We start from the raw sequence: 17,598 nt of genomic DNA on the forward strand, positions 1-17,598 counted from the left end.
AAGCTGAGGCAGGCAGATGACTTGAGATCAGGAGTTCGAGACCAGCCTGGCCAACATGGTGAAACCCCATCTCTACTAAAAATACAAAAATTAGCCTGGGGTGGTGGTGGGCACCTGCAATCCCAGCTACTTGGGAGGCTGAGGCAGGAGAATCACTCGAACCCGGGAGGCGGAGATTGCAGTGAGCCGAAATCGCGGCACTGTACTCCAGCCTGGGTGACAGAGCAAGACTCTGTCTAAAAAAAAAGGAAAAGAAAAAAAAACTCCGGAAAAGAAAATGAATGGTTGTATCTATACTGAACATGTACAGATTTTTTTTTCTTGTCATTATTCCCAAAACAATACAGTATAACAACTATTCATGTGGCATTTATATTTTACTAGGTATTGTAAGTGATCTAGAGATAAAGTGTATGAGGGGATTGTGTAGGTTGTGTGCAAATACTATGCCATTTTATATAAAGGACTTGAGCATCTGTGGATTTTGGTGTCCACAGGGAGTTCGGGAACCAATCCCCATGCATACTGAGCAATGGCCCTCCTTGTTTTTATTTATTATTAGGTAATATTCCATTGTGTGGATATATCTCATTTTGCTTATTAGTCATCCATTGGTGGACTTTCGAGTTATTTTCACCTTTTGGGCTCTGATGAATAATGCTATAAACATTTGCATATAAGTTTTTGTGTAGACATATGTTTTCATAGCTCTTGGATGTATGCCTAGGAGTAGAATCGCAGGGTCGTATGGTAAGTTGATGCTTAATCTTTGGAGGAGCTATCAGACTTTTCCAAAAGCAGCTGCACCATTTCACATTCCTGCCAGCAGTGCATGAGGATTCCAGTTTCTCCACATCCCACCAGCCCTTGCTATTGTCTGTTTTCTATTTTTAGCTATTCTAGTGAGTGTGAAGTGGTATTTCATTGTGGTTTTGATTTGCATTTCCCCGATGACAATTGATACCGAGTTTTTTCATGTCCCTATTGGCCATTTCTTGGAGAAGTGTCTGTTCAGATCCTTTGCCCATTTTGTTTGTTTGTTTGTTTGTAACAGAGTCTCGCTCTCTCACCCAGGCTGGAGTGCAGTGGTGCAATCTCAGCTCACTGCAACCTCTACCTCCTAGGTTCAAGCAGTTCTCCTGCCTCAGCCTCCCGAATAACTGGGATTACAGACACACACCACCACGCCTGGCTAATTTTTGGTATTTTTAGTAGAGAGGGGGTTTCACCATGTTGGCCAGGCTGGTCTCAAGCTCCTGATCTCAAGTGATCGGCCTGCCTCAGCCTCCCAAATTGCTGGGATTACAGGCATAAGCCACCGCACCTGACTTCCTGTTTAAATGACTTCCTGTTCTTTTTATTATTGAGTTGCAAGAGAGACTTGTATATTCCAGATAGAAGCCGCTTATGAGATACAGGATTTGCAAATATTTTCTCCCATTCTATGAGTTGTCCTTTACTTTCTTGATGATATCCTTTGAAACACAAACGGTTTTAATTTTGATGAATTCCGATCTATCTGTATTTTCTTTTGTTGCTCTACACTTTTGGTATATGTCTTAGTGCATGTTTTTAACGTAATACTTCTCCCCACGGAAGAAATGAGGCAGGAGGGGCTGTTGGGCTGGACTGAGTGGTTCCAGTGGACTCAGGGTGGCCCAGGGTTCCTTTTGAGAGGGAACTGAGGCCCTGTCCGATTCCTGAGCCATGGGCCCCTGGAGCCCACCAGGCCTCAGTTCTTCGTCATTGAACACTCAGCCAGCTTAGGGCTGGGAAAGCAGTTTCGACAACGACTTGCTCCCTGGTCAGATTGACACAGCTGAGAGGGGAGAATCGGGGCTCTCGACATAGGTGAGCCTGGCTTGGAATCCTGGGAAGGCCACCAAGTGGCAAGGGCACATGGAAGGGACATTTCGTCTTTCTGAGCCCTGTTTTCTCACCTGTTACAAAGGTGACGGCGGTGATGCCACTTCTCAGCACTCAGGCATCTGGAGAGGACAGCTGGGGTCTTGGGAACTAACTCTCTCCTTTATCCCCAGCCATGAAAGCTGATCGGAAGCGCTTAAAGGGCGAGAAGACAGACCTGGTGAGCCAGATGCAGCAGCTGTATGCCACACTGGAGAGCCGCGAGGAGCAGCTCCGAGACTTCATCCGCAACTATGAGCAGCACCGCAAGGTCAGCCGCCGCCCTGCCCTCCCCTCCCCTCCCGACACACCAGCTCCCACCTCCCCTGCTGGCTGGCCACCTTCACAGGCTCTGCCTCTTGAATCCCCAAACACAGATAGGGAGGCCCTTGATGTGTCCAGCCAGGCCTAGGCACCGAGATAAAACCGGCACAACCCCCGGAGAGGGATCTCCATGTCTCCTGGGCAAACAGGACAGCGTGGACTCAGGAGTCCGGGGGGTTCAGATCCTGGCTCCTTGTGTGTGTGCCCTCGCAGGTCTCGCTTGACCTCTCAGAGCCTCAGTTTCCTCTCTGCAGAGTGGTGATTGTGGTGGACCTTTCAAAGCTACAGTAAGGACTCTATGAGATGATGAATGCCGAGCACTCAGCCTGGTGCCTGGCACATAGTATAGCATCATCAATAAGACGCATAGCTAACATTTACTAACACCATAATAAAAGTGTGAAGAGAGAGCTGGGGAGCCCCAGTGAGACAGCAGGAAGTTCTGCCTATAGGGAGGGAGTCTTGGAAGGCTTCACAGAGGAAGTGACATATGCATTGGGCTCTGTGGGGTGAATAGGAGTTTATGGGCCAGACAACTGAGGAATTTGTTTCACCATGTATCTCTCTGGTATCTGTGGTATGACATGCCAAAGAGGACACCAAAACTTAAAGAAGAGTCAGTCCCCTGGCCAGGCACGGTGGCTCACACCTGTAATCCTAGCACTTTGGGAGACCCAGGTGGGTGGAATGCTTGAGGACAAGAATTCGAGACCAGCCTGGCCAAAAGCCCATCTCTACTAAAAATACAAAAAGTAGCCGGTCATTGTGGTGCACACCTACAGTCCCAGCTACTCAGGAGGCTGAGGCACAGAATCACTGGAACCCAGGAGGTGGAGGTTGCAGTGAGCCGAGATCACCCCACTGCACTCCAGCCTCGAGCTGAATGCACTTCTGGCCTCTGTTTTCTGCCCTGCGTAGGCACCTTGGTCACAGCCCTTGTCACAGGGTGTTCAGCTCGAGGCCCCTTTTTTGAACAGTGGGAAGCAGCAGGCCAGGTGAATGAGTCCTTCCCAGATGCTGCCTCTGAGCCGCAGTTCAGAGACCAGAGTGTTCAGACTGGATTTGAATCTAGATGCTTGGTCCCCCCTACCCACTTTGGTCTTCACCGCTGATTCCTCACTGTCACCTCCCGGGCATGCACATCACTTCCTTTCTATGATGAAAGGAGCCTCGAGAGTTCTCTGGGCCAGGCCACCACAGCCCCTGATGGGGATCTGGGACTTCTAGCTGCCCTCAGTGCCCGACTCGAGAGCAGGGCCCGGCTCCCCCTACCCTGCCTACCTCTCCCCCCATCCCCCTCTGCCCTGCCTGCTCGCCCCAGCCCTCCCCTGCCCTGCCTACCCAGCTCCCTCTGCCCTGCCCGCCCAGCTCCCTCTGCCTAGCCTGCCCCGCCCGGCTCCCCCTGCCCTGCCTGCTCGGCCCAGCCCTCCCCTGCCCTGCCTGCCCAGCTCCCCCTGCCCTGACCACCCAGCTCCCCTTCCCCTGCCTGTTTGGCCTGGCTCCCTTTCATATTAGATGAACTGAGCCTCCCCATGCCTGTCACAGGCAAACGGTTTGGCAGGAAGGGGACGACCCAGAAGCAAGGCAGAGGGAGGCAGGGGAGCCCACAGAGGCTGCTTTCTCAGACTCTGGCATGGGGAGCAACTCATGGGCCTGGGGTGCAGCTCGTGGGCCTGGGGTCCGCTCCTTAGGGTGAGGCTGTCTCAGCAGCATTGCCTTTGGCCACCAGCAAGGAGTCAGAGACCAGGAGCTCAGAGTGACCTCCATGCAGAGGGAGGGGTAGGGGACACCGCTATCCTGTCTGATGATGCAGGTACACGTGTGTGCTCACAGGGGCGTGCTGTGGGAGTTACGGCATGTACTTCAAGGGCTTACAGGAAGAGTTCTCAGAGCCTCGTGTGTGTCCATTCATTTAACATCCACACGGACACTGTGGGGCATATGGTTATCCTCCCATTTCACAGATGAGCTGATAGACACAGAGAGGGGAGATAACTCACCCACGGTCATGCAGCCGGCGATGGCAGGGCAGGGGCTTACAGGGCCTGGGTCCAGAGCCTACGGGCCTTCCCCCTGTGCAGCGCGCCTCTTCCCCCAACCCCATCACCCCCTGGCACTCAGCACAGCATCTTCTGGTCGCCTCTGCTCCCTGCCTCCCCTTCTGTGTCCACCTCTCTCATTTCTCCATTCTCGGCCTAAGGAGCTTGGTCTTTTTTCAGTGGGCAAGGCAGGGAGAGCCTCTGCCTGACCAGCCCCATGCCCAGCAGCAGGGAAACCTGGTTACCTCTTTTTTATTGGGGACAGGACACAGTGGGGCCAGAGAACCAGCCCATAGCCTTCAGTGACGTGCTGGCCCTGGGGCAGAAGACAGGCTCCAAGCTGACCTTCTACTTGTCCCCTGAGCCACCAGCTTCCTCCCCTCCTGGGACCAGGGTCACGCAGGGATTAAGAGCAGACAGATAGGTTAGCATCTCACCTCTGCACTCGCTATGGGGGTGGCTCGGGCAAACAGCTGACTCTCCCCGGTCTCAGCCTTCACATCTGTAAAGCAGGATGAAGATTGCAACTACTCACAGCCCAGTGCTGTCAGACCTGAGGTTCCCGGGGCATGGAAAGCAAGGGGGGTAGGGGCATATGCCTGCTACCATTATTATTATCATTATCATTATTATTGCTTTCGGGGATTCAGAGTCAGCCATTTGATCATGAAAATTCCACAGTGGATTTCAAAGCCCCTCTGCCGGCCCCTCACCTGCCACTCCCTGTTGTTGGTCTCACTGGCAAACCCGGAGAAGGAAACGAAGGCCCCGGGTGGGCAGGATTGGAGCTGTGGCTGGTCCCACACAGACCCCAGTCGTAGGTCTGGTTTCTGGGAATGGGGTGGAGAGGCAAGACCTGTGCAGAAAGGAACCCAGACAAGTCCTTCTGGGAGGGACAGAGGGTCTCAGAGGACCCAGGAATCAGGAGCTAGAAGAAAGAGCTCCCTGAGAACACATGCCCTGAAGGAGGACAGATCAGGATTTAGAAAAGCAGCCAGTTACGGTGGCTCACACCTGTAATCCCAGCACTCTGAGAAGCCAAGGTGGGAGGATCGCTTGAGCCCAGGAGTTCAAGACCAGCCTGGACAACAGAGTGAGACCTCCATCTCTACAAAAAATTTTAAAAATTAGTGGGGCAGGGTGGCACACGCCTGTAGTCCCAGCTACTTGGGAGGCTGAAGCAGGAGGATTGCTTGAGCCAGGGAGGTTGAGGTGGCAGTGAGCCCAGATTGTGCCACTGCACTCCAGCCTGGGCAACAGAATGAGACCTTATCTCAAAAAAAGAAAAGAAAGAAAAAAAAAAGCAAGAGGGTGCTGAGCAGAGTCCAAGAGGATCCAAAAGATGGCGCTGTTACCAGGTAATCATCCTGGCAGGGACTGATGTGATGGCTGCCTTCAGAGGCCACCTCAGCAGGAGCTGGCATGAACACAGTATTACCTATAGCAAATGTTTATTGTGCACCTACTGTATACAGGCATGAACATGGTATTACTAATACCAGACGTTTGTTGTGCATCTGCTGTATACAGGCATGAACATGGTATTACCAATAGCAGACGTTTATTGTGCACCTACTGTATACAGGCATGAATGTGATATTACCAATATCCAATGTTTATTGTGCACCTACTATATACAGGCATGAACATGGTGTTACCAATAGCAGATGTTTATTGTGCAACTACTGTTTAAGGCATGAACATGACAAGTAACAGACATTTATTGTGCACCTACTGTATAAGGCATGACCGTGACAGTACCAATAGCAGATGTTTATTGTGCACCTGCTGTATACAGACATGAATGTGCTATTACCAACAGCAGACATTTATTGTGCACCTACTATATACAGACATGAATGTGCTATTACCAACAGCAGACGTTTATTGTGCACCTACTGTATACAGACATGAATGTGATATTACCAGTAGCAGATGTTTATTGTGCACCTACTGTATACAGACACGAATGTGCTATTACCAACAGCAGACGTTTATTGTGCACCTACTGTATACAGACATGAATGTGATATTACCAGTAGCAGATGTTTATTGTGCATCTACTGTATACAGACACGAATGTGCTATTACCAACAGCAGACGTTTATTGTGCACCTACTGTATACAGACATGAATGTGATATTACCAGTAGCAGATGTTTATTGTGCACCTACCGTGCACAGGCACTGCCCTCATCTCTTCACATTTGCTATTTTAATAGCAATCCTTCGAGGAGTGATTGTCCCCATTCCCCCCATTTAACAGGTGAAAACTGAGACTTAGGTAAAGTCTCAGGCCGAGGGCCACACGATTATGGAAAGGGGTAGAGGCAGGATGCAAACCCAGGAGGTCTAGTCCCAGAGCCCCAGCCCCAGAGCTCATAGGACTGGGCCTGGCCTGGGCCACCGTCCCCACACCACTCAGTGCATGTTCAGAGGAACGAAGGAATGAGTCCCACTGTTTGCCATTTTCAACAACCCAAGGCCGACCACAGAGAGGAGGTCACAGCTGTCCCTGTGAACCATGGGTAGAGTGCTGGCTATTTCAGTGGCCAAACTAGCATTTCATACCAGTGCTTCTCTGTGTCTTTTCATGATATATCAAATTTGTTTTTTAAAATTATTTGGGCAAAAATGATACATTTTAATGGGGTACATAGTGATGTTTGGATCCATGGAATGTATAGTTATCAGATCAGAGTAATTAACATATCCATCTCAAAGTGTAACATCCATCTCATATTTGGCAATAAAATTCCCATGGAGAGCACCGTGTCATTTTTTAAGACATAGGTGACTAGGGGCATCCCCCAAGTCTGACCAGCCGCTGGGGTGGGGTTGACGCTACTCAATAGAAGCCTTGTGGCTATGACTGCCGGGGGCAGCTCCCTGTAGCTACAGCTGAGCAGCAAGTGCCACTTTTATTGATTGGCTTCATAATGCCCTTCAGATTCATTCAGAAAAATGAACTTTGGAAAATACTGATTTTAAAAAAATTAATACCTTAATACTAAGATATGAATATTAGAAGTGGAGAGAGTCGCGCCTGTAGATCGGTGGAATAGCAACATTAAAACAATATTTTAGTCATTGTTGGGTCCAGCCCCATTTTACAGGTGGGAAGACTGAGGTCCGCAAGGGTCAAGTGACTGACCCAAGGACACATGTTTAGAGCCAGTTTGGCAAAACTGAAGCCACAAGTCCTGGTTTTATTTCATCTCTTCCAAGATCTTGCAGCTGGTTACCAAAAATGATTTGCATTTTATGTGCATGATAAATGTCCCCCTGGAACAGGATGACTGGAACCCTCAGGTTCCCTCGCCCACGCAACTGTGCCCGCTTAGTCTGCCATGGCCCACCCAACTTCTCCAGCAGACTCCTGTAGGACTCCACTGGAGCAGGCAGCAGGAAGGACCCCAGGCCCTGAGCTACTGGGAGTCGGGGGATGGCACAGGAACAAGGCTGCTGAGAAAGGAGGGGTCTTGGCCTGTCCAGAATGTGGCCGATGACCCAGCATGGTGGCTCATGCCTGTAATCCTAGCACTTAGGGAGGCTGAGGCAGACAGATCACCTGAGGTCAGGAGTCCAACACCAGCCTGGCCAACATGACAAAAGCCTGCCTCTACTAAAAATACAAAAATTATCTGGATGTGGTGTTGTCCGCCTGTAGTCCCAGCTACTCGGGAGGCTGAGGCAGGAGAATTGCTTGGACCCGGGATGCAGAGGTTGCAGTCAGCCAAGATCGCACCACTACACTCCAGCTTGGGTGACAGAGCAAGACTCCATCTCAAAAAAGTTAAAAAAAAAAAAGGAAACAAAAACAAACAAACAAAAAACAGAATGTGGCAAAACTGCAACATTTCTGAAAGCTGTGCCAAATGCACTTTCCCTGTCACGTGACTGCAGATGGAAGGGAAACAGGCCACTTTCATCTCACCACTGTCACCTCCCCAGCCAGACTTTTTTTGTTTTTTGTTTTTTTTATTTTTTTTGAGATGGAGTTTCACTCTGTTGCCCAGGCTGGAGTGCAGTGGCATGATCTCCACTCACTGCAACTTCTGCCTCCTGAGTTCAAGCGATTCTCGTGCCTCAGCCTCTGGAGTAGCTGAGAATACAAGCGCATGCCACCACACCTGGCGAATTTTTGTATTTTTTTTTTTTTTTTAGTAGAGATGGGGTTTCACCATGTTGGCCAGGCTGGTCTCGAGCTCCTGACCTCAAGTGATCTGCCCTCCTCCACCTCCCAAAGTGCTGGGATTACAGGCATGAGCCACCGCACCCGGCTCCTAGCCAGACCTTCATGCCCCTGCAGCCCCTCCTCTCCCCTCTGTATTCTACTCTCCGCATTTTTTTTCTTTTTTTTTTTTTTTGTTTTTTTGAGATGGAGTTTTGCTCTTATTGCCCGGGTTGGAGTGCAATGGCGGGATCTCGGCTCACTGCAACCTCCGCCTCCCAGGTTCAAGCGATTCTCCTGCCTCAGCCTCCCGAGTAGCTGGGATTACAGGCATGCACCACCACGCCCAGCTAACTTTGTATTTTTAGTAGAGGCAGGGCTTCTCCATGTTGGTCAGGCTGGTCTCGAACTCTCGACCTCAGGTGATCCATCCACCTCAGCCTCCCAAAATACTGGGACTACAGGCATGAGCCACTGTGCCCGGCCACACTCCCCTCTTATGTCCATGTGATCCCCAAGTGCTGGCAGCCCCAAAGAACCTCAGCTCCCAGGCCTGTCATCCAAGGCCCCATGAGGTCTTGGCCAAATCCCACCCTCAGAAATTCCCACCACCCCCAACCCCCTTCCAGTTCCAGACCTCTCAGGCGTCTCCTTTCAGTTCCTTTCCTGCCTCAGGTACCAGCAGGGATTGAGGCCTCTACCACACTGTCTATGAGCTGGCGAAGTTGTTTTACCTCTCTGGGCCTCAGTTTGCTCATCTGTGACATAGGGATAATCATAGTCCCTGCCTCAGGGGTGGTTGTGAGATTTAAATAATGCACCTAAAAGCCTTAGCACTGTACAGAACGTTCTGTGACAGTTGCTGCTGAGCCCAGCTCTCCTGCTGCCGCGGAATATGACCCCAAGAAGGTGGGAGTCCAAAACTTGAAAGCACCTACAGGCCTTCCCACCCGGCCTAGAGCCCTTGGTCTGTTCGTGAGTAGTAGTGTGAACCAGTGACTGCGATGAGACAAAAATGATCCTGAGGGACCTAGTGGGGCTTCCTCCTAATTCAGGGACATTTTATAAGCAGCCTCTTGTACACCAGCGGGTTCTCAGGGACAACCCTTACCCCAGTGGTCAGTTTCTACACTGTAGCAGAATTTTTCACTATAAGCTCCACGAGTGCAGGGATTTTTGTCTGGTTTGTACCAGACAAATATCCACAAATATTGGTTGAATAACAGACCAGTATCAGCTTCAAATAAAGAAAACAGGTTAGAGAGGGCCTGGGGCTTCTTTCTTACGTGGGTGGTCAGGGAAGGCTTCTCAGAGGAGGAGACAATTGAGCAGGGATCTGAGTGAGGCGAGCAGGTGCCTGCTGGGAGCCCAGTCCTGTGCAGAGCTCTCCAGGTGGATTCCTTCATGCAGACCCACACAAACGCCCCAAAGTATATGTGGTATTATCCCCTGGTTACAGATGGGGAAACTGAGGCAGGGATGACTCACAGCAGTCATTGCAAAGCCAGGATTTGGCCCAGGTTCTCCCTCTGTCTCCAGAACCAAGGCCATAGCTACAGCTCTGACAGCCACAGAGAAAAGGCCACGTTCTCCCTCAGCCTCCCTGTCTCTCACCATCTGGAAGTGAGGCCTTCAGAGACAGGTTTGTCAGACAAGGCAGGATGGTGGCCTCTCTCCACGGTCCCAGGCCACACGGAGACCTTGGATTTGCTTTTGATTTGGTGAATGGGAAGATGGTGGCTGGGTGGATGGGTAGAGCTCCCCGCTGGGACTGTCCTTCTCAAAAGGACGCCTGTTGTTCTGAAACTTTGCTCCGGCCAACAGAGGTCACAGCCTCGATTCAGCTGTCTGTTCCTTCCCTGCTGGCTCTGCTCTGGGGACTGGCACAGCCGGGGCCTGGCCCTTCCCTGGACAATCACAGAAAACAGCTCATGCAGGAGGGCCAGCCTGGGGAGGGGCTGGGGCAAGCGGCTGAGGACTGTGCTGCATTCAGGACACAGCAACTGTTTCTCTCACAGGCTGTGACCCTGTGGAGTGGTGGCCGGACCTTGTGGCAGTCCAGACAATTGGGGTCGCTGGTGCCTCCTTACTGTTGACCCTGTTTCCCTGTGATGAACACAATTGACCAAACAGAACAAAGCCCCAGAACAACTATTGCACCCTAACTTCTGTCAGACTGTGTTAAGTATTTCCCGCACGTGAAGTCATTCAATCTTTAGAATTCTTTGAAACAAGTAGGATTGACTCCTGCCCCATTTTACATAAGGGGAACCCAGACTCGATGAGGTAGAATGACTTCCCCAAAGCAGTCATTTGCCAACTTACTCATTCATGCAGCAAAAAAAGGGTTTAATGAGTGTCTACTGGGTTCGTCTCTGTTCCAGTCTTCCAGCTAGTTTGTGGCAGAGCTGGAGTTCGTGCCCACGGCTTTCCCACCACAGAGCCAGAGCTCCTGGCCACATGTCATGGGGCCTCCCCACTTCTTTTTTTTTTTTTTTTTTTTTTTTTTTTGAGACAGAGTCTCGCTCTGTCGCCCAGGCTGGAGTGCAGTGGTGCGATCTCGGCTCACTGCAAGCTCCACCTCCCAGGTTCTGCCATTCTCCTGCCTCAGCCTCCCGAGTAGCTGGGACTACAGGTGCCCGCCACCATGCCTGGCTAATTTTTTTGTGTTTTTAGTAGAGACGGGGTTTCACCATGTTAGCCAGGATGGTCTCAATCTCCTGACCTCGTGACCCCACTTCTTTTTCCATCTAGGAGTTAGGCCCCCTCTAGGCATCCCTGGGCCAGGAGGAGCCTGGCTGTAACACCCACGGTGCTCTCTCCCTCTCCCACCCACAGGAGAGCGAGGATGCGGTCAAAGCGCTGGCCAAGGAGAAGGACCTGCTGGAGCGTGAGAAGTGGGAGCTGCGGCGCCAAGCCAAGGAGGCCACAGACCACGCCACGGCACTGCGCTCCCAGCTGGACCTCAAGGACAACCGGATGAAGGAGCTGGAGGCCGAGCTGGCCATGGTGAGAACCCTCCCCACCCAGGTGGGCCTGGCATCTGCTAGCAGTGCCGTGCTGGGAGCCGGGACGTCTGGCACCGACTCACATCGGAGACCTAGGGTGGGGTGGGTGGGGCAGAGCAGAACACAAGCAGGGGGCAGGGCCCGCCGCGGGAGGGGGCTTTCTGCAATGCATCATAAGTTTCCCTCCAAGACCATGCCCCCAGAGACTGGGCCAGCCTTTTATCCACCTGCCTTGGGCCCAGGGAGTGTGGAGACGCTGGGAAACCACTCACTCCTCCACACACCCCAGCCTACTATTAGGAAAAAAAGGCCTAGTGCAGTGGCTCATGCCTGTAATCCCAGCAGTTTAGGAGACCAGGGCAGGTGGATCGTATTTGAGCCCAGCAGCTTGAGACCAGCCTGGGCAACATGGCAAAACCCTATCTCTACCAAAAAATTAGCCAGGCCTGGTACATGCCTGTAGTCCCAACTAGACCGGTGGCTGAGGCAAAAGGATTGCCTGAGCCCTGGAGGTAAGGCTGCAGTGAGCCACTGCACCCCAGCCTGGGCGACAGTGAGACCCTGTCTCAAACAAAAAAAAAAAAAGGAAAGGAAAAAAAATTTTTTTTGTTTAAAATATACATATTTGCTTAGGAAAATATTTGGGAGGAAATACATGGAAATATTAATGTTCATTCTCTCAGAGTGGTAGCAACTTTTATTTATTTCTTTGTTTGTTTATTGGCCTCTTTTCAAATGTCTTTGCAGCAAAAATGTCTTACTTGGGTCATTAAGGAAACAAATAATTTTTTCCTAACCCAAACCAAACCCTCAAAATACTTCCAGACACTTTGTTTTCCCAGGAGATGCGTACCCTTTGTGTGTGGGGACAGAGGGTCCGGGTCGGGAGAGAGAGCCCTGGAGGTCTGTTCTGCCTGCTCCTGTGTGACCTTGGGCTGCCCACTCAACTGTTCTGGGCTTCAGTGCCTTTTACTTGTTACTGGGCTGGGAGTGGAGTCTTAATCCCACCCTACCTTCCCCACAGGGTGGCTGGGCAGATCCAGGGAGCTTGTGGCTAGAGTAGGGGAAGGGGGAGGACGTAAGTCTTAGAGGATTTGTCGTCCTGCAGAGTGCTGATGCCAGCTAACGGTGTGGTTACAGCCATGTGATCTGGGTTCGAATCCAGCCCCAGGTGCTTCCCAGCTGTGTGACTTTGGGCAGGAGCCTTCACCTCTCTGGACTCCATATCCATCAACTCAAAACAGAGATAATGGCATATGTAGTTGACCCTTAAACAACGCAGGGCTTAGGGGTGCCGATCCCCTGCGCAGCTAAATCCATGTATAACTTTTGACTCCCCTAGAAGATAACTTCTAGTAGCCCACTGTTAACCAGAAGCCTTACTAAGAACAGTCAGCGAGCACATCTTTTGTGTGTTCACTGTGTCGTGTACTGTCTTTGTATTAGTTCATTCCTACACTGCTATAAAGAAATAGCTGAGACTGGGTAATTTATAAAGGAAAGAGGTTTAATTGACTCACAGTTCCGAATGGCTGGGGATGCCTCAGAAACTCATAATCATGGCGGAAGGCAAAGGAGAAACAAGGCACCTTCTTTACAGGATGGCAGGAGGGAGAATGAATGCAGAGGAACTACCACACGCTTATGAACCATCAGATCTCGTTAGCATTCTATCACTATCACGAGAACAGCATAGGGGAAACCAGCGCCATTATCCACTTACCTCCACCTGGTCCTTCCCTTGACACGTGGGGATTACAATTCGAGATGAGATTTGGCTGGGGACCCAGAGCCAACCATATCAGTATTCTTTGAATAAAGTAAGCTAGAGCAAAGAAAATGTTATTAAGAGAATCAGGCCGGACGTGGTGGCTCATGCCTGTAATCGCAGCACTTTGGGAGACCGAGGAGGGTGGATCACCTGAGGTCAGGAGTTCGAGACCAGCCTGGCTAACACGGTGTAACCTTGTCTCTACTAAAAATACAAAAATTAGCCAGACATGGCGGTGGATGCCTGTAATCCCAGTTACTCGGGAGGCTGAGACAGGAGAATCGTTTGAACCCGGGAGGCGGAGGTTGCAGTGAGCCAAGGTCAAGCCGCTGCACTCCAGCCTGGGCAACAGAGCAAGACTCCGTCTCAAAAAAAAAAGAGAATCATAAGGAAGAGAAAATATATTTGCTATTAATTAAGTGGAAGAAGAGGATCATCATCAAGGTCTTCATCCTCGTTGTCTTCACGCTGAGTGGCTGAGGAGGAGGAGGGAGAGGAAGGATTGGCTTTGCTGTCTCGGGGTGACGGAGGTAGAAGAAAATCCGCCGATAATCAGACCCACGCACCCATGCCGTCCAAACCCACGTTGTTCAAGAGTGGACTGTGCTTTGTGGGGCTCTTGTGAGGATTTCCAAGAAATAAAGCAGGAGAAGCATTTGGCACCGGGCCTGGATTCCTGGACGTGGTAAAACCACGGCAGGATGGTTTACTAAGGGCCAGGCCCCAGGACAGGCCGGGGCAGGATCCGTGGGCCTAGCCTAGGTCTCCTTGTCCAATGCTGACCCCTAGTGGTGAGAACTGCTGGGCAGGAAAAAGCTGCGGCTGCAGGGACTTCTGGGGTCCAGGGGGTTCCCACCAGTGGGGTTGATAATACTGGAGGCCCTGCTGCTGCGTGCAGCCCAGAAAGAAACCTTTGAACTTGCAGGCCAGGAAAAGGCCCCTGTTCTCCCAGGTCTTTCTCATGCCTTGTGGACAGACAGATATGTCTTCCTTCCTTGGAGTCCTGGCCTTAGGCATCCGAGGACTCCCTGGGTCTTTCTGGCCTAGAAACCAGCTCACCCTGGCTTCCACTCCCACTGCGTCTGGACACTCAGCCTGTTTCCGCTCTGGCCAAGAAAACTCAGCTTCTGGCCTCCTTCTGGCAGGCATCAGATGCATCTGCCCGTGTGAATGTTGGCAACTCAGGTTGATTGGTTTATGTTCATGTTAACAGCACATGCAGTGTCTACCCAGGGCTTGGAGGCAGAGAGAAGGGGCTTCACGAGGAGCTGTGATGACCCCAGTCTTGTTGGGGTGTCCACCTGACTGCAGGTTCCCTCCATTGCCCGCCATGCCTAAAGTTTCACCGCCAGGCTGTGTTGCCTGCAGGCCCAGCTCCCCCACTGCACAGCTGACCCTTCCTCGGGGGGTGCCTTAAGTCCTGGGTTGCAAGCAACAGAAAGCAGCTCTGCTCTGCCAGTGGAAGCATAGAGGGTGGGTTGGAAGGAAGTCAGGGTCCACACGTGCAGTGGGGAGGTGGAGGGCGCAGCTTAGCAATGGCAGAAGCCACGGCAGCTGCAGGCCGGGCGTGGTGTCTCGTGCCTGTAATCTTTTGGCTTTGGGAGGCCAAAGCGGGCAGATGACTTGAGGTCAGGAGTTTGAGACCACCCTGGCCAACATGGCGAAACCCTGATTCAACTGAAAATACAAAAATCAGCTAGATGTGGTGGCACGCAGCTGTAATCCCAGCTCCTCGGGAGGCTGAGGCAGGACAATCGCTTGAACCCAGAAGGCAGAGGTTGCACTGAGCCAAAATCGCACCACTGCACTCCAGCCTGGGCAACAGAGCGAAACCCCATCTCAAAAAAAAAAGAAGCCCCCCAGCTGCGGAGGTGGGGAGCCAGGCCCGGGGGGATGGTGCACTCAGCAGCCCCTGCAGCTGGGGGACGAACATGTCCCTTTTGTCTTCTGATGAAATCTTACCTCTGTGAGGTCCATGCAGTGTGCCCTGTGGCCCATCTTGGGCCACTTACTTGCCCCTTACCCAGGGGTCCTGGCTGTAGCTGCTGGTGCTGGGCGGTTTCTTAAGTGACCCTGAGGTGCTGCCACAGAGGTGGCAAAGCTCACACCTGCCAGTGACACTGAGGCCACTGGGAAAGCAGGTATTGGGGAAAGAGCCCAGGCTGGTGCCAAGTGAGGGGTGAGCAGCCCCTCAGGATCCAGGCATCGTCCCTCCCCCCATGTCCTGAGGAGCCAACTCTGGGCCGCCCCACACACCCTCTTCGCTGCTTCACTTGGGGAAAAGCCAAAAAGACATTTGCTTCTGCAGACGTTTCCCAAGAAGCAAAGCCCTCTATTGGCATTTAGCAATGAAGGTGGGCACCCTGAGGCCTGCCCAGCCATCCACCCTTGCTGGGGGCATTTCCTGTTAAATCCTGATTGAACCAGGCATTACCACCCACACAGCAACTTCTCTGTAACCACACTGGCCCCAAGGGACCGCATGTGTGTGTATGTGTGTGTGTGTGTGTATGTGTAAAATATTGTTTATCAACTTAGAATGTCAAGGCCCGAGCCCACATGAGCCTACCGTTGCCCCCGCAGGAGCCTCCCCTCCATGGCCAGAGCCAGCGTTGATCCTTGGTTGTTGGTCCTGGGTCGTTGATCCTTGGTCGTTGGTCCTGGGTCGTCGGTCCTGGGTCGCTGGTCCTGGGTCGTCGGTCCTGGGTCGTCGGTCCTGGGTCGTCGGTCCTGGGTCGCTGGTCCTGGGTCGTTGGTCCTGGGTCGTTGATCCTTGGTCGTTGGTCCTGGGTCGTTGGTCATGGGTCGTCGATCCTGGGTCGTCGATCCTGGGTCGTCGATCCTGGGTCGTTGATCCTTGGTCATTGGTCCTGAGTCGTTGGTCCTGGGTTGTTGGTGCTGGGTCGTTGGTCCTGGGTCGTTGGTCCTTGGTCGTTGGTCCTGGGTCGTTGGTCCTGGGTCGTTGGTCCTGGGTCGTTGGTCATGCCGTTCAGTGGTTTTTAGCATGCTGACAACATTGTGCAGCCACCACTGCTGTCTAATTCCAGAACAGTTGCATCTCCCCAAGAAGCACCCCGTCTTCATGCGCAGTCACTCCAGTGAGGTCTGTATTCTTACGGTTTCGGAGCTGGAGATCAGGCGATCCTGTACTCCATGGGGTGACGGCTTTGCCGGGAGGCTTTTGACGGGAGTCCAGCCATGGCCTGAAGGAGGCAGCTCCCTTACCAGCCTTCCCTCAGTCCACAGGCCTTTCCCACCAGCCTCCCTAGTCACATGTGGGGCTGGGAGACAGGGCTGCCTGCTCCTGAGACCATGGGCATCCCCCACACACTGGTCCTGTCCCTGGGAGCCCGGCTCACACGGACCTCGCTGCTGACGAGCGCGGCTTCTCCAGCACGGGAAATGCTCTTCAGTTTACGGTGCTCTCTGTAAACAAGGGCACCATAGACGTTTGGGGCCACATAACAGTGGTGGGGCTGCCCTGTGCTCTGTAGGGTGTGTGGCAGCTTCCCTGGCCTCCACCCACCAGATGCCAGCAGCACCCCCTCCACCCCAGCCCCCCAGTGTCACAGCAGTAGACTCCAGACATGGCCAGATGTCCCCTGGAGTGCAGAATCACCCCAGACTGGAAGCACCCCTCCATCAAGTAGGACATTTTGCAAGAATCAGACGTTCCTATCTGTCTGGGCCTGGGCTGTTTGAGTCTAGCAGAGTCCCAGTTTGGGTCCTGTTATTTTCTGTCTGTGTGACCCTTGACAAGGGACTTAACCTTTCTGAGCCTCAGTTTCCTCCTGTATAAAATCAGAACTATAGGCCAGGTGTGGTGGCACACACCTGTAATCCCAGCACTTTGGGGAGGCCGAGGCAGGTGGATCACCTGAGGTCAGGAGTTCAAGACTAGGTTGGCCAACATGGTGAAACCCGTCTCTACTAAAAATACAAAAATTAGCCAGGCATGATGGCAGGCGCCTGTAATCCCAGCTACTCTGGAGGCTGAGGCAGGAGAATCGCTTGAACCCAGGAGGGTTGCAGTGAGCTGAGATCACACCATTGCCCTCCAGCCTGGATGACAGAGTGAGACTCCATCAGAGTAGAGTAGGGTAGGGTAGGGTAGGGTAGGGTAGGGTAGGGTAGGGTAGAGTAGAGTAGAGTACAGTAGAGTACAGTAGAGTAGAGTAGAGTAGAGTAGTAGAGTAGGTCTCCATCTCAATAGAATAATAGAATAGAATGGAATAGAATAGAATAGAATAGAATAGAATAGAATAGAATAGAATAGAATAGAATAGAATAGAACCTTCCCCCTAGAGTGACAGTGCAGGGAAGTGAGGCAGTGGGTGAATCAGGCAGGCACGCTGCAGAACTCGGTCAGCGTTCACAG

The 17,598-nt window shown here is 52.1% G+C and overlaps 1 protein-coding gene across 21 annotated transcripts in view, besides 2 other annotated features; it reads left to right on the forward strand.

The window, feature by feature from the left end:
• KAZN (kazrin, periplakin interacting protein) overlaps positions 1-17,598 on the forward strand; it is a 1,225,220-nt gene that overhangs the window by 1,139,886 nt on the left and 67,736 nt on the right. For all 21 annotated transcript variants that reach the window (XM_011541074.4, XM_005245795.6, XM_011541080.4 and 18 more), the window contains 2 exons: positions 2,040-2,176; positions 11,280-11,450. In XM_011541074.4, the coding sequence (XP_011539376.1) occupies positions 2,040-2,176; positions 11,280-11,450 (308 nt within the window). The remainder of the gene's footprint in view (positions 1-2,039; positions 2,177-11,279; positions 11,451-17,598) is intronic.
• Positions 5,620-5,679: a silencer, noted in NCBI's record as "silent region_294". NCBI's record gives its function as "represses an Ori minimal core promoter by ATAC-STARR-seq in GM12878 lymphoblastoid cells {active_cell/tissue: GM12878}" and the evidence as "EXISTENCE:reporter gene assay evidence [ECO:0000049][PMID:35858748]".
• Positions 13,902-14,131: an enhancer, noted in NCBI's record as "active region_230". NCBI's record gives its function as "activates an Ori minimal core promoter by ATAC-STARR-seq in GM12878 lymphoblastoid cells {active_cell/tissue: GM12878}" and the evidence as "EXISTENCE:reporter gene assay evidence [ECO:0000049][PMID:35858748]".

Source organism: Homo sapiens, chromosome 1 (assembly GCF_000001405.40).
Source record: "Homo sapiens chromosome 1, GRCh38.p14 Primary Assembly".
NCBI classification, from domain to species: Eukaryota; Metazoa; Chordata; class Mammalia; order Primates; family Hominidae; genus Homo; species Homo sapiens.